This window comes from Homo sapiens, chromosome 17 (assembly GCF_000001405.40).
Source record: "Homo sapiens chromosome 17, GRCh38.p14 Primary Assembly".
Taxonomy (NCBI): domain Eukaryota; kingdom Metazoa; phylum Chordata; class Mammalia; order Primates; family Hominidae; genus Homo; species Homo sapiens.
In genome coordinates this window covers 32,257,075-32,272,114 of record NC_000017.11, presented here as the reverse complement: position 1 = coordinate 32,272,114, position 15,040 = coordinate 32,257,075, and the positions used below count along the sequence as shown (strand labels likewise).

At 52.8% G+C, this 15,040-nt stretch overlaps 1 protein-coding gene and 1 long non-coding RNA gene across 12 annotated transcripts in view; one reads left to right on the top strand and one right to left on the bottom strand.

The window, feature by feature from the left end:
- RHBDL3 (rhomboid like 3) overlaps nucleotides 1–6,283 on the bottom strand; it is a 58,830-nt gene extending 52,547 nt beyond the window's left edge. For 4 of the 10 annotated variants that reach the window (XR_001752439.2, XM_047435507.1, XM_017024275.2 and 1 more), the window contains exons 1-2: nucleotides 5,815–6,283; nucleotides 4,190–4,213 (exon numbers count right to left, since the gene is read on the bottom strand). Coding sequence is in view for 8 of the 10 variants with exons in the window: in XM_047435507.1 (XP_047291463.1) it covers nucleotides 4,190–4,213; nucleotides 5,815–5,925 (135 nt within the window). In the remaining 2 variants the exon portion in view is untranslated. The remainder of the gene's footprint in view (nucleotides 1–4,189; nucleotides 4,214–5,814) is intronic. The other 6 variants (XM_017024273.2, XM_017024276.2, NM_001330181.2 and 3 more) reach the window with 3 other exon arrangements.
- Nucleotides 6,284–6,663: 380 nt separating this feature from the next.
- On the top strand, nucleotides 6,664–14,081 carry LOC105371731 (uncharacterized). Of its 2 annotated transcripts, none has more exons than XR_934665.2 (3): nucleotides 6,664–6,850; nucleotides 7,219–7,369; nucleotides 13,073–14,081. It is a non-coding gene; the product is annotated as an uncharacterized LOC105371731 (long non-coding RNA). The 2 variants fall into 2 exon arrangements; XR_001752825.1 differs by having other exon boundaries at nucleotides 6,978–7,369.
- The last annotated feature ends 959 nt before the right edge of the window (nucleotides 14,082–15,040 follow it).

Genomic DNA, 15,040 nt, shown 5'->3' with positions numbered 1-15,040 from the left:
GCTTCCACTTCCATTTAATTCTCATAGTCACCCTGAAGTTAAATATTACGTCCCCATTGTACAGAGGAAGAAACTGAGGCTCAGAGAGCTAATGTAATTACCTCCGATCACAAAGTGAGTAAGACTTGAACCCAGGTCTATCTGACTCCAAATCCAAGTTTCTGACCCCAGCAACCCACCGAAGCGGCGGATCCACGCCTTCTGTTCATCGTAGCACATGTTTATGTTTATAATTTTGGTGAGACAGTCAGTACTTGTCTGCTTTCCTTCTGGGAGATTAGCAAAATTGGGGATCTCTTTTGGGGGTCTAGGAAATACAGGCTCCCAGTGAGAAGGGAAAAAGGAAGATAGTCAAGTTACTTTCAATACTGCATTTTCCCTCTTGTTCTTTTGAGCTTGAAAGCAATTGTGCTTTGTTGACTTAACGGAACTCTGCTCCAAACTCTTTTGTTCATTAAACATTCACAGATCTTGGAGGCATTTTTAAGGGTAAACCTGGAAATGACTTTTCCAACCCAAGAAGCCCTTTGTGGGTTAACTGGGCTCTGGTCCCATATCTGTCACTGCCCCGCTATTTGGCCTTTGACTAAATATTTGACCTTGAATCAAAGCTTCCTGGGATTCAGGAAGGGACTGAGAATAAGACTATCAAAGCATAACCCGAAAAAGGGAAGCTTTTCAGAAACCTATGGAACAGATGTAAAGCGATAACTAAAGGGGACATTACCTGTGCAAAATTATAAATATCAGTGGCATAAATCAGAAATAAAATATCAACCCAACCACACACAAAAATTTACCAAATAACATTTCTCAAACAATATAATAAAGAAGGCTTACTTAATAAGTGATGCTAGCATAGCTGGATAGGAATCAGATGCAGATGGAGTGCAGGGTTATATGATGTTTTTAATCATAGAAAAAGTAGTAGGAAATAAAAGGGCATATTTATGAGATCTGGGGAGGTACGAAAACTATCTCAGGTCTGAATCAACAGAAGGAATCAGGAAGGAAAAGCTCAACAGATTCCACAGAAAATAAGACTTTTTTCTTTAACAAATTTTTTTTTAAACTTTTAAAAAACGGAGGTGGGGTCTCGCTATGTTGCCCAGGCTGGTCTTTAACTCCTGGGCTCAAGCGATCTGCCCACCTTGGCTTCCCAAAGTGTTGGGATTACAGGTGTGAGCACCCAGTCAGAAAAATAAAACATCTTTACTACGATATTATACTATAACAACAGACTAATATTTATGGTAAATTTTAAATCTACTTAAATATTTAGGAAAACCATCAAGATCTCCAAAATATGAAAAGACGATTCCCTCAAGAAGAAGTTTGAACAGGACATGAACACATGGAACATACCGAGTTGAACTGATGACCCTCAGGTCTCCCACCTGCTGCAACTTCTGGGACCCATGGGGAAGAATCGGGGGAGTGAGGGTGCGTGGCATGGATTGGCCCTGCTAACACTCCTGCTTGAGTGGGCCAGATGCCACAATGCCAGGGAGGGGGATGCAGAAGCTTCCATGGGACTGGGGTCACCTGCTTTCATCACCTCCAGTCCCCACAAAAGGTATCCTGGCCATTTAGTTCGACGGTGACCATATAGGACCAACAAGACCAACACCATGGCTTCTAGCCCTTGGGGTCCAGTTGGCGTCATGCTAGATCAAGGCTACTCCACATGCTGAAGAACCAGACATTATGGAGGGACTGGTCTAATCCATCCCTAACACCTGGAAAACAGACCCTAGCAGATCCCAGTTTGAAATTGGGCTACCACTGGTGTCTGCTTGACCCAAGAAGGGAGGGAGGAGATACTTGACTGGTTCTAGCCACCCATGCCATTGATCTCTGGAAGGCGAACTCCAGAGTCACTTGTGCTTACAGGGACTCTGAGAGGTGTCATGTCCCATCCATGACTGCAGTTTGATCTATCAGGGTTGCTTGCTTCTTTTTTTTTTTTTTTTTTTTTTTTTGAGAAAGGGTCTCACTTTTTGGGAGGCCATCCTCCTGTCTCAGCCTCCCAAAATGCTGGGATTACCGGCGTTAGCCACTGTGCCTGGCCTAATTTCTTTCCTAGAATTAATTCTGGGCAGGCCTCCCAGAAGCAGGGGTATGCTCTTTGTGACACCCAGGACCCAGGACCTACCTTCAGTTGGAAAAATTCGATTTAATAGACCACTAGCTACTATTAGGTGCTACACATTCTTTCTGCTCCCTTGAGTTCCAAAATCTTCCTACTAAAAGCTCTCTTCCTTTCACCCAAATGGTTTGTTTTAAAATGTACACATACACACAGGGACTGGCAAAGGAAATTAATCAAATGAAAAAGATAGACACAGACAGAGAAAAAAAAAGAATGATACACTTTGTTCTAGGTTCTGATTCTAAATCTGGCAGGAGGTGTGAAGGGCTGGCAGCTTGGTGGTAGTGGTGGCAGTGGCGCAGCGGGCTCCCTCCTGCCTTGGGGCATCAGGCCAGCAGCTGCTGTACTCTTAGGAGCCAGAGGGAGAGATGCTCTACCCGTCAGGACAGGAGCCAGTGCATGCTTTGAACTTCAAACCACAGCCAGACCTCGTGGTTAATGTGGATGATCACCCCAAATCCTCACCCCAGGCCTTTCGCGCTGCAATTCCGTGTCATCACGCCCACTCCGGCATCTGCAACCGGCTGGCTCCTCTAACTGAACTTGTCTCAAACCAAAGTTGTCATTTTTGCCAAACGTCTCTCCTCACTCCAACTTGTTTTTTGTTTTTGTTTTGAGACAGGGTCCCACTCTGTCACTCAGGTTGGAGTGCAGTAGCACGATCGTGGCTCACTGCAGCCTCAACTTCCTGGGCTCAGGCAATCCTCCTGCCTCAGTCTCTCATGTAGCTGGAACCACAGGAGTGTGCTACCATGCCTGGCTGATTTTTTAATTTTTTGTAGAGATGAGGTCTCACTTTGTTGGCGAGGCTGGTCTTGAACTACTGGGTTCAAGTGATCCTCCCGCCTTAGCCTCCCAAAGTGTTGGGATTACAAGCGTGAGTCACCACACCTGGCCCCACTCCAACTTCTTTCCCTCCTAGGTTCAGAATCTCAAAGTTAGATATGTGGTTCCCCTCACCTACGGTCTATTAAGATCTTCCAATTCTTCCATCACCATGTCCCTCTTCCCGTCCATCCTCACTGTCACCTTCTTGCCTCTGTTCAGTGCTGCAGCTCCTGCCTAGCTTCCCTCATCCCCGTAGCCCATTCACTCCTTATCCCCTAAGACACTGGAGCTTTCCCAAGCCTGGCTTGGATCACATAACAACCCTGCTAAAAAACTTTCTAAGGCTTCCCCTGCCTACAACGAAGTCCTGGTTCAAGCTAATTTTTCAGCTTTATCTCCTTCTCCTACCCAACACATTCCCTCTGGCCCACTCACACCAATTTCTTAAAGTTGCACAAACTTCATGGCACAATCATTCTCACCCCAGGACTATAGCACTCAACTATCCTCCAACATGGGGCAAAGAGGGAGAAGGAAGCACATAACAGCACCCACCACGAATGCTAAGAGGAGAACCATTTCCTTGCTGAAGGTCAAATGTCCATCTCCAGGTTCAAAAGCCAATACTTGGCACCCCCAACTCCATGCCCTACACCTGGACTCCAGGCATTGCGAAGAATCACACACAATTTCCCCTCTGTAACCTCCCAGCACTCCCTCATCCCTATGACAGAATTAAAGACATTGAATTAGACTTCAAAAGAGTCCATACTGTGAGTCAGCCCCCAAGGATGGCAGAGATTTGACTTCAGCGGTGGCCATGGACCCTCCATAGTGGAGGTAGAAACGGAGAGGGATTGTCAGCCCAAGCCCTTCCCCCACCTCTCCAGCCCCCTACTGCAATCCCCTGGCATATGGAGGATTTCCCAGGCATTCAATATATAACGTCCAATTTCTACATGGTGTAAACCCGGCTCTGGTGCAGCAGAGTAGGGAGGAGGCAGGAGGGAGATCCTCTCAGGGGAGCCCATCTCTTCCTCCTGATACCTGGAGAGCAGTGTCGTTCAGCCCTAGAGATGCACAAAGCCACACCCCCACCCCACGTCACCATCTCAGGAGCGCGGAGCTAGGGAAGCCCACGCAAGCAGGGAGACTGAGACCGATTTCAGGGAGGGCTGGAAGGAAATGGGGGGTTAACTGCTCACATACCTGATCAAACAGGACTTTCCAGTGCTGGCAGAGAGGGAGGCCATGCAGGAGAGGAAGAAGAGGAGAGAAAGAAAGACACACTTATCACCAAGGTCTCTGTAGTCCTCGGATGTTTCTGACATAGCCTCCCAGCGGCTGCCCAGGAGTCATGACCAGGCTCAGGGACTGGCCACAGGAGAGCAGGGGAAGTCTGGGAGGAGCTCCCCAATGAGTCCACACTGAGCAGAGGGAGGAAACTCACAGTAAGGGATGGGGTGGGGGCGGGGGCGGCAAGGTGGGTGTTGCTGGTTCTGGAACTGGCAGAACAAGTGATTCTCAACAATTACTAAATAAAGGCGTCCAAATATGTCCAAGCGCCTCTAATAATTTCTGCTGCCTAAAGCTTATGTCCACAGCTACTCCCAGGCCTGGGAGAGCATGGCCAGGTGCAATTCCATCAGACCCCGGCGCAATGAGTCTCACCTGCTGGGAGCTAGAGCCCCCCCCTCCCCCCCCAGGAGAACTCACCTCTGCATAAACACTAACATTTTGCCTGCAGTTTTTTGTTTGTTTGTTCGTTTTTTGTTTTTTTGCGGGGAAGGGGGGGTGGTGAATGCCGAATGCGGTGAAGCCCACCCATTCTCTTCCAAGGCTGAGTCTAAGTGGTGACTACATCAGATTCTGCCAGGGGTTTAGGGCCAGAAGGAAGTGATAGATTTAACCGCAGACGCCAAAGAGAGAAGATCGTAAACTACCCCCCAACCCCATTCAGACTTTCCCGCTTTCGTTGTGTGGGTTGGGGGCCTGGTTTCACTTCCATCTCCCCACCCTGAGGGAGGAGTGGGCAGGGCAGGGTGTCTGCCCGGTTTTTCACCCCTATGTGTAGGTTAGCCCCGGGAGGTTAACCCAAGAAACTCCAGTTCCCAGGGCTTCGCAGGGCCGGCCCGCAGGACCGGAGGGATGGAGACCCGAGCAGCAGACGGCGGGGAAGCCCTCGGGGCAGCCCCTCCCTCTCCTCGCCCAGGGGACCGTCCCCTGGCACCGCCACGGTCTTGGACTCCCGGGCCTCCTTCTAGGAGCAAAGCCGCTCCCAGCACTCTTTGCCTCCCTGCTCCGGCCGGGGTCAGAGGCGGGGGCCGGCTTGAATTTCAATCAGTGTCGCGGCAAGGCAGGTGCCGGGCGGGAGCTAATCCGGGAGCGGAGGAAGGGGTCGCCAGGCCGGCTTGCATGGCCAGGGACGGGGACTCTGCGGCGTCCGCTCCTTCCCCAGCTCCGGGAGCTCGCAGGTCGCGGGCGTGAGGGGAGGGGGAGTCACCGCCGTGACGCGGCCGCCTCTGCGGGAAAACGCCGTGTCCCGGGCACTGCACCAGCGGCGGGGAGGGGGCTCCGGCGGTGACAGGTCCGCGGCGCAGTGGCGGTGCTGTGTCCCGCAGGGAAGCCGCGGGAACCAGAGCGGGGGAAGCGGTGCGCGCGCGTTTCGGGGAGACCGGTCCCTCCGCCCCCTCCTGCCCGCGGGGACCCGGCCAATCCGGGGCGCTCCCGCGTCACCCTGAAACCTCCAAGTTGCCCGGCGTGGGGCGAGACAGGGGCGGCTTTTCCCCCCGGCGCCCCCTAGAAAGTTTGCCGGGCGGGGAGGGGGCACTCACGTCCTCCGGCGCCGCGGGCAGCCGCTCCTCGGCCTCGGGTTCCAGCTCCTCGATGCGCTCCGCCTCGGCGCAGGCGGCCACCGCGGGGCCCGGGCTGGGGTGCTCGCCCATGGCCGAGACGGGGTCCGGGGGCGGCGGCGGCTGCGGGGCTCGTCCCGGGGCGCCGGGCTAACTTTGCGCCGCGGCGGCCGCGCCGCTCCAGGGGCTCAGTGCGCGCCGCGCCGCCTCCGCGCCCGCTCCGCAGCCCGCGCCCGCCCCCATGGCCCCGGTCCCCGCGCCGCCGCCGCCTCCTCGCGACCCCGGGACGCCCGGCCCCTCCGCCGCCAAACTTCACTGCGCTAGCTGCCCCGCCGGCCTCCGCCTCCGCCCCGGCCCTCGCGCCCGGCTCCGAGGCGAGGGCGCCCTTGGGCCGGCCCCGGCCCCGCCGCTCCCCGCGCTCCCTTCCCGCTTCTCGCGGCCCCCGCTCTGCGCCCGAGTCTCCTCCTCCCCGCGGAGTCCTCGGGGGCGGCGCGCGGGCGGGGGCGGGGCTGCTCGCGGGGAACGCCGGCCCCCGCCCCGCACCCCACCCCGGGCGCCGCCACCCGGGCCCAGTCGGTCAGAGCGGCGCGGCCCGGGAGCGGGAGGGCTGCGGCGGGGCTGGCGAGGAAGTGGTGGCGCTGCCCGGGGCGGGGATGGGGACTGCGCCGTCCCCGGCCCGGTCACCACCGGCCTGCACTCCGGGCCCGGGCTTGGCTCTTCCATCGGCTTAACCATCACTTGGAGGTGGCAGATATGTGATGGAGACACTATGTTGGCGACGTCAGGGTTAACTAGGAGTGAATTGGGGGCGCGATGTTGTAAGGACGGGATTCCTGCCTCCCGCCCCATTATCCTTACGCCCTATTCACTGCGGTCTCAGATTCTGGGAGGTCTCGGGAGGCCCAGAAATGGGAGAAGTCAGATTGCGGGGTCGTGGGCCCCAAAGCCTAAATCTTGCCCTTCCTACACCCAGAGCTAAGTGACCATGCCCAGGCTTCATTTGACCACATGGACAAAGGTAAGCCCAGGGAAATGCCCCATCTGGGGAGAGGGACGGTAAAGAAACTAAAGCAATCAGAAAGGAAGTTAGCCAAAACGGAGTAGGGGATCTTTTAAAGAAAACAATCGATGCTGTTTCCCTGCAGGAAAGCGCCCCCAAGAGAGACCATCTCCCGAAGCAGAGGCTCTGGCTGTAAATGGTGCTAGTGGCCGGCCTGGCAGGGGCCAGCTCTCCCCAGAGGCTCAGGAGCTTCTCCAGGAGGCATCTCGCAGTCAGTCCCCAGCCCACACCAAGGCTGTGCCCTTCCACTCCTCTTGCTTTCCTCTTCCCACCACCCACTCACTCACTAGTCTTTGCCCTCTTCCTTCCTCTGGGAAACGGAACAGGCTCCTTTCCATTAGTGAGAGCTGCAACTAATGCAGTCATCTTCAGAAAGCAAAGACATAACCCCGTGCCCAGGATCCGAACTGCGACCATCACCCAGCAATGACTGCTCCCCTTAAACACCGAGAAGGGAATTCACTTGATTCTAATTAGGTGAGTTTGCTACAGACACCAATTTTCATCTCTGTTTCAGAAAGTGTGATCATTTCAACTATTTTTGTTTCTCACCACCCTCCTCCCCATCCCTACTCTACTAACAAGTCAAGATCCTGCCAAGATTTCCTTGTAAATAAAACTGTCTGCATGGGGTGTGATTTTGAAAACAGCCTTCAGGGGACAGAAGAGAGGCTGATTCCTTTGTGAAGAGGAGCCCAGAAGGACAAATGACCGCTGGGGCCCTGGGGTCTGTGTCGCTGCCTCCCGCATCCCAGGCTGTCATTTGCATGACCGGTATGGGTGTTGGCTCTGTTATACTTAGATCTCTGGGACTAGAGAAGTGGGCCAGGAAGTCTGGTTCCAGGGGAACTGGAAGGAGAAGGGCACAGAAAAGGGTTGGCCACTCTGCTGGGATGCCCAGCCACCCTGGACAGTGTTCTGATACCAGCTACCCAGGGAGCTGCCTCTTCATCAGCCCAGGGACAGCTCTTATCAACATATCCAACTCTGTCATCCCTTCGTGGGGAAGGGAGCTTAGCAGGCTCAGTTCTGTTCCTGAACATGTATTAAGCTCCTACTAAGTACCAATGACAGAGCTTTGAGAATACAGAGGTGGATAAGAACCAGACCCTGCCCTCCAGAAATGGATAATTGGGGGTGACAGTCACATTCAACACAAGGGTAAGTCCTGGATTCAAGGGAAGCCCAGAAGGTGTAGAACTCCAAAGGAGGGGGTCGCTGTGGGTCCAGGAAGGCTTCCCAAAGGATAAGCCTCCAGAACTAGGCAACATGGAAAAGGTGAAGGAGGTGTTCCAGGTAGAGGGAACAGCACGACCAGGCTTGTGGAGCAGCATCATATGGGAGGCAAACGACAAGCAGTTTGGCATGGCTGGAAACTGGAGCACGATGACCAATCTAAAGAGCCCAGCCTGGACGGGAAGGTTGTGAGGGGCTGTGAGTTTCATGGGAAAAGAGCTTGGACTTTACCTAAGGGCAATAGGGAGCCATTGAAGGATTGTGAGCAGTAGAGTAATATTTAAAAGATCCCTGGCCAGGCGCGGTGGCTCACGGCTGTAATCCCAGCACTTTGGGAGACCAAGGCGGGCGGATCACGAGGTCAGGAGATCGAGACCGTCCTGGCTAACACGTTGAAACCCTGTCTCTACTAAAAAAATACAAAAAATTAGCCGGGCGTGGTGGTGGGCGCCTGTAATCCCAGCTACTCGGGAGGCTAAGGCAGGAGAATCACTTGACCACAGGAAGCGGAGCTTGCAGTGAGCCGAGATCTGCCACTGCACTCCAGCCTGGGCGACAGAGTGAGACTCCGTCTCAAAACAAACAAAAAAGATCCCTTTGGCTGTAGTGTAGAGTCTAGACAGGAGGGAGGTTGGCCTGAGCAGAGGGCCATGAGAGGTGCTGTCCAAGGAAGAGGTCACAAGGGCGGCAGCAGTTAGAATAAAAGGGAGAGGGAAGATGGGAAACATCCAGAAGGCTATCTTGTTCCTCCTTCTGTCCCTAGGAACATTTACCCCGCCTTGGCAGGCTATGTTTCCAAAAGTCTCCTAAGAAGGAATTCCTGATCTCTCACCAGGATTCTTGCTTCACGGGGCAGCTTCTCTCACCTTGGCCCTTGCTGGGAGGTGATGGTGTCTGGACTTGGAGACTGTTAGGACAAGTTGTTACATCCATCATCCTCCATGAGCCTGAGGCCACCCTTTACCTGTTGTCCTCAATGTCACCTACGCCCAGCTGGTCAGACCACTCTGCCCCTCAGCTCCAGGCGAATCTGCAACCCACTCCCGAGCAGGCAGTAGGACATGGGGCCTGGGGTCCAGGCCTAGAAAGCTCCAGGGGATAGGAGTGGCTAGGCACCCTGACACCTTTTGTTCTACTCTCACCTGAGACAGCCTAAGGACTGGCATATTCTGTGGCATTTTGGGGGCAGAGGAGGGAGTAGGCATGGTGTCACTTTCACTGACCAGCTGCAGCAGGCAGGCACTCGTCGATGCCTGGAGGTGTGCCATGCAGAGGCCCCTCCCTGGGAGAACCTTTGGCGCTAATGAGAAGTGACACGGAACTGGGCCTATTGGCACTTCTTCCTTGCTCTTCATTTTGCAAGTGCGCTACACCATGGCCTCTTTTAAGGTTCCTAACAAGACACTTGAAGTCAACGCAGAGCAGGATGAAGGGCTGGGGAAGGGTGGATCAAACTCGGTTTAGAAGGGCAGGAGCATGATGTTGAGATGAGCCTTGAAAGGGGCAAGCTTGTGGTAGAGAACGTGGAAGGGTTTCTAGGTGGAGGGAACTGCTGCGGCAAAGACACAGAGATAGGAAAGCTGTTGACTGTGTTGGGAACCATGAAGTGGCTGAGCACAAAGTGAGGATGGCCGGGCAGGCGAGGAGCACTGTGTCGCCAGAGTCCCCGAGTGCCAGTCTGAGGAGGTTGGACCTCGCCCAGTGGGAGATAGAGAAGCGGTGATGGCTTCTAACTGGAGCAGCATTTTAGGAAGATTAAGTTGGCGACAGCTCAGCAGTGCCATTCAGCTCACACGTGCTGAGTGTCCATTATGTGCCAGACCCTGGCCGAGGTACTGATAGTACAAAGGGGATGAGACCCGGGCCCTGGCCTCCTGGGGGAAAATGAGGTCATCCTCTAATGACAGTCCAGTGGGATAAGGGGGAGGAGAGAGAGAAGAGCCTTTCCAGGGCTGAGTCTCTCAAATGTGCCCTCCAAGAGAGGAAGGAGTTTTTTTAAGGACCCGATGTTCTGGTCCTGGGAACTGGGACAGTTGGCTGCCATGGAAAAGCCAGGAGTAGCTGCTGGAAGCGGGGAGAGGAAGGCAAAGGGGGCTGAGCAGTTTGTTTGTGGACACCTTGAGCTAATGAGAAGCCAGGGAAGAAACATGAAGGGCTGTAATTATTGCTCAAAGCAATGGCAATGCCCAGAAGGGGGGCAAACAGGGATGACTTTTTCTCCAGAACCTCTTTCACTTGGGGTTCATTCTGACATCTCCCTCTGCCAGACCCACACCCTCCGAGCCCCTTCTCTCTCTGCAGCCAGCTTAAACCTAAACTGACCTTCGTGGCACCCTGTCCCCACCTGTAGCTCTAATCTTCTGAGAAACCAGCCCTGAGCTACCACTGTTTGCCTTCCTGAGATGAAGACGTAAGTTATTTTTGACTGAGATCCAAGTCCCGGCCCTGAATTCTTTTGTCTTCCGGGAATCCCCCAGCCGTGTTTGAAGTCTGCAAGTCCAAACAGCAGACATGGCTCAGGATGGCAGAATCCGACCACCCTCCACCTCCATCTCCAGCATTCTTCCATCATCGCCCGCTGTCTGCCAGATCAAACGGAGCAAGACTGCTACATGGATTTCTTTCCCTTTCGTCTCTTCCTTTCACTCCAGGGCTCCCAGTTTTCTGAGTAACTTAAATCATTACTGAGAGATGTGTAGGTTCACAGACCAAACCCTTTCAAAGCAAGGCGTGGGCACCCAGAAGTTGAGCTCAGAAAAGCACAGAAAAAAACTTTCCCAGTCCCAAGATTTAGCCAGTCACACATTCAGGGAAACAATCAGCTACTTTGCCAGGTCTTACCTTCCTTTCCTGCCACCTCCTTGGGGCCTGGCTGGTCCCCAGGGTCCCATTTCTGAATTCTCATTGGGCCTCAAGACTTCCATATGACCTTCACTGTGCTATAGGCAGGTCCTGTGTCTTCAGTAAACCACCTGTTCTATCTTACCCATCAGCCAGTCACAGTGGCTCACACCTATAATCCCAGCACTTTGGGAGGCCAAGGTGGGAGGATCACTTGAGTCCAGGAGTTCAAAACCAGCCTGGGCAACATAGCAAGACCCTGCCTCTACAAAAAAATTTAAAACCGGCCGGGCGCGGTGGCTCACGCCTGTAATCCCAGCACTTTGGGAGGCCAAGGCGGGCAGATCACGAGGTCAGGAGATCGAGGCCATCCTGGCTAACACGGTGAAACCCTGTCTCTATTAAAAATATAAAACATTTGCCGGGCCTGGTGGCGGGCACTTGTAGTCCCAGCTACTCGGGAGGCTGAGGCGAGAGAATGGCGTGAACCAGTGGGGCAGAGCCTGCAGTGAGCCGAGATCACGCCACTGCACTCCAGCCTGGGCGACAGAGCGAGACTCCGTCTCACAAAAAAAAAAAAAAAAAAAAAAATTAAAACCTAGCCAGGTGTGGTGGCATGGGACCTGTAGTCCTAGCTACTTGGGAGGCTGAGGTGGGAGGATCCCTTAAAATAAAGGAGAGAATCTTGCCCATCTCTCTGACGAATGCTCTCTCCTCCACAAAGCCTTTCCTCAACTCTCCAACCCAAATGAACCACTCCTTCCTCTGAATCCCTTTTTCCTTTTGACTTTGAATTATATCTTCTAAGTTTTATCTTCCTGATACTAGAACGTACATTCCTTGAAGGGGAGGATTATGGCTTATTCAATTCTGCATCCTTCGCAATGCACAACATTGCACACTGTAGAAACTGAACAAATGTCTGTTTAATGAAAAAAAGGGGATGCCTCTCTTGATATGACACAAAGTCTAATTATATAGTTATTACTCTCAACCTGCAACAAGAGACAACTTTTATGTTATGGAGAAAAAAATTCTTCTGCATAATAATAATGCGCCTGTATGCCTGCTGCCTTTATTTCAAAATACTTCCGCATTTGCCATTGCATTTCATCCTCAAAAAGCAAGCCTTTCTGAGGTGAGCAGAACAGATACAATTGCCTCCATTTTATAAATGGGGACACTAAAATCCCTGGGCCCCGGGGAGGTTTGATTCTCCATGCCTGTCACCAAAGTTCTTATTTAAAGAGTGAAATACAAAAGCCCCTGATGGTAGTGAGTGCCCTTGGCCCCGACCGCTGACCACTGTCTGCAGAGACTGCTTTCCCAGGGCAACTGGACCAGGCTGAATCCCAGCGCACAAATAGGGCTTGTCCAGCTGCAGGCTTGTATGAGTCAGAAACTTTGGGGGTTGTCTCTGGCTTTGTAGCTAAAACTTCCATTGGTCTATTTACTGCTTTGTTTCTCTCAACCTAAGTGTGCAATCAGTGTCCTCAGAAAAAAAGAGAATGATCTGATTTTCTTACCCACTGCACAGAACCAGGCACCAGAGTGTCCAACAGACTGTGGAGGGAAAGAAATGGTGCGAGTCTGGCACAGCCAAGGGTAATTAGCTGTAAGAGACCTGTGGCAAACCTTGACATTAGAGCTCACTGTCTATGAGGGGCAAGGATTGGTTTTGTTGGTTTGCAGTATTATCTTTTTTTTTTTTTTTTTTTTTTTGGAGATGGAGTCTGGCTGTCAGCCAGGCTGGAGTGCAGTGGCATGATCTCAACTCACTGCCACCTCCGCCTCCTGGGTTCAAGCCGTTCTCCTGCCTCAGCCTCCTGAGTAGCTGGAACTACAGGCGTGCACCACCATGCCCAGCTAATTTTTGTATTTTTAGTAGAGACGGGGTTTCACCATGTTGGCCAGGCTGGTCTTGAACTCCTGACCTCAAGTGATCCACCCACCTCAGACTTCCAAAGTGCTGGGATTACAGGCGTGAGCATTGCCCCTGCCCTGCAGTAGCATCTTTGACTCCTAGAATGATTCTTGGCACATAGAAGGTTCACAAAAAGTATTTGCTCATTGAATGAACCTGTCCTATTTATACTTCTTCAGGCCTAGAGAAGGCCTCCCCGAGGCCAGAATCCCTGGGAAGTCTGCCCAGCATCTAGTCTCTTAGGACTTCGTTGGCCTCCTCTGGGGAAGAACATCAATTCAGCCCAGCACCTGCTCCAGTGAGGGGCTGCAGCGAAGAATGACGTGGGGTCCACGAGGCAGGCTTTTTGATGGTGAGGCCGCAGCAGCAGCATCAGCATCAGCAGCAGCAGCAGCAAGACATCCTGGAGCTCCATATTCAGTATGGCAAGAGGCAACGGGCGTGAGGGAAGCAGTCCCGAACAGAAATGCAGGAGCAGCGGTAACAGCAGCAGCCGCTGCCTGCGAGCATCAGGCAGGGGAGTGAGACAGTGGGCACTCAAATCCGTTTCCTCCATCTCTCAGCCACACAGCCCAAGCGAGGCTGTGTGAGAACTTCTCAGTGCACATTGTAAATACCATCTGTCACACTGCCTGCCCAGATGCGGCCTTCCTCCCTGCAAAGGAAGCATTCTTTATTATTTATGCAGAATGCACCCTACTTAAGTGTTGCACCACCAGCAGAGAGAAGACAAAGCCTGGAAGAGTCAAGGACTCCAGGGATCTGCTTTTCGGATAGCAGCCGGTTGGGAGGGGCTTGGTCATCCATCTTTCTGGGGTGGGAGGTTCATTCAGTCGGGCAAGGGCACTTCCCTAGGAATTAGGAGGCCTGCGTTCTCAGCTTAGTTCTCTCACCAGCTTGCTGTGTGACCTTGGGCAGACACCTCACCCCCATGGGCCTCCATTTTTTTTTTCCATCTGTAAATGCAGGGGTCAGACTAGATGATCTATGACATCCCTTCCAGCTCTAAATTCAATTGGTGTCCCTCTAACCCTTCTCCATCCTGTGCGGGCCCAGAAGCCTGTTCATTACCGTCAGCTCTCCTTCCCAGCTGGCAGGGGAAATACAGTTCAGGATCTGATTTCTTTTTCTTTTTCTTTTTCTTTTTTGAGACAGAGTTTTGCTCTTGTTGCCCAGGTGCTGGAGTGTAATGGCGCGATCTTAGCTCACCGCAACCTCTGCCTCCCGCATCCTCCTCCTCCCGGGTTCAAGTGATTCTCCTGCCTCAGCCTCCTGAGTAGCTGGGATTACAGGCATGTGCCACCATGCCCAGCTAATTTTGTATTTTTAATAGAGACGAGGTTTCTCCATGTTGGTCAGGCTGGTCTCGAACTCCCAACCTCAGGTGATCTGCGTGCCTTGGCCTCCCGAAGTGCTGGGATTACAGGCGTGAGCCACCGCGCCCGGCAGGATCTGATTTCTTAGTACCTGAGAGCAGGACAAGGGGCCAGCAGACCTAGGCTCTTGTCCAAGCTCTGTCACTGTTTAGCCTTGTGGCCCTGGGGAAGGCAGTTTCCTAATCTCAGTTTTGTCTTTTGTGAAACCAGTGGGAGGGACTAAGAGATTTCTGGAGGAGAATCCATCTCTAAATTCCATAATCCCTGATTTTCCCTTCCAAAACACTGCTGATAAACACGTTTACAGACCAAGTCTCTAGACCTGGAGATTAGTGAAACATAGTTCTCTGCCCTCAGTGAACTCGAAGTCAGGTGGAAAAGGCATGCTAGCTAAAAACAACTGCAGGTGCAATGTGACAGGTACAAGTAGAGATGGGTGCAAAGGATGTGGTGGCATTAAGGCGTCCAAGTAGGTGATGCTGGAGCTGGATCTTAAAAGATTGAGTAGGAGTTCACCAGGTGGATGGGGCCTGATGTGTTCAAGACAGAAGGAACTGCATGTACTAAGGCAGGAAGGTGTGAATCTGCATTGGAACTGCCCACTTGTCCACTGTTAGGCTGACAGTGACATTCGGGGAGTCTTTGCATTGACTGCTTCCTCTGCCCCCCCTTTAGAACAATCTGGTACTCCCTGGGTTGGGATGAGGGGACTTATGGTTGACGGCTCCATATGGCTTCCCTGCCCATGAAGTGCATCACCAAGGAGATGAG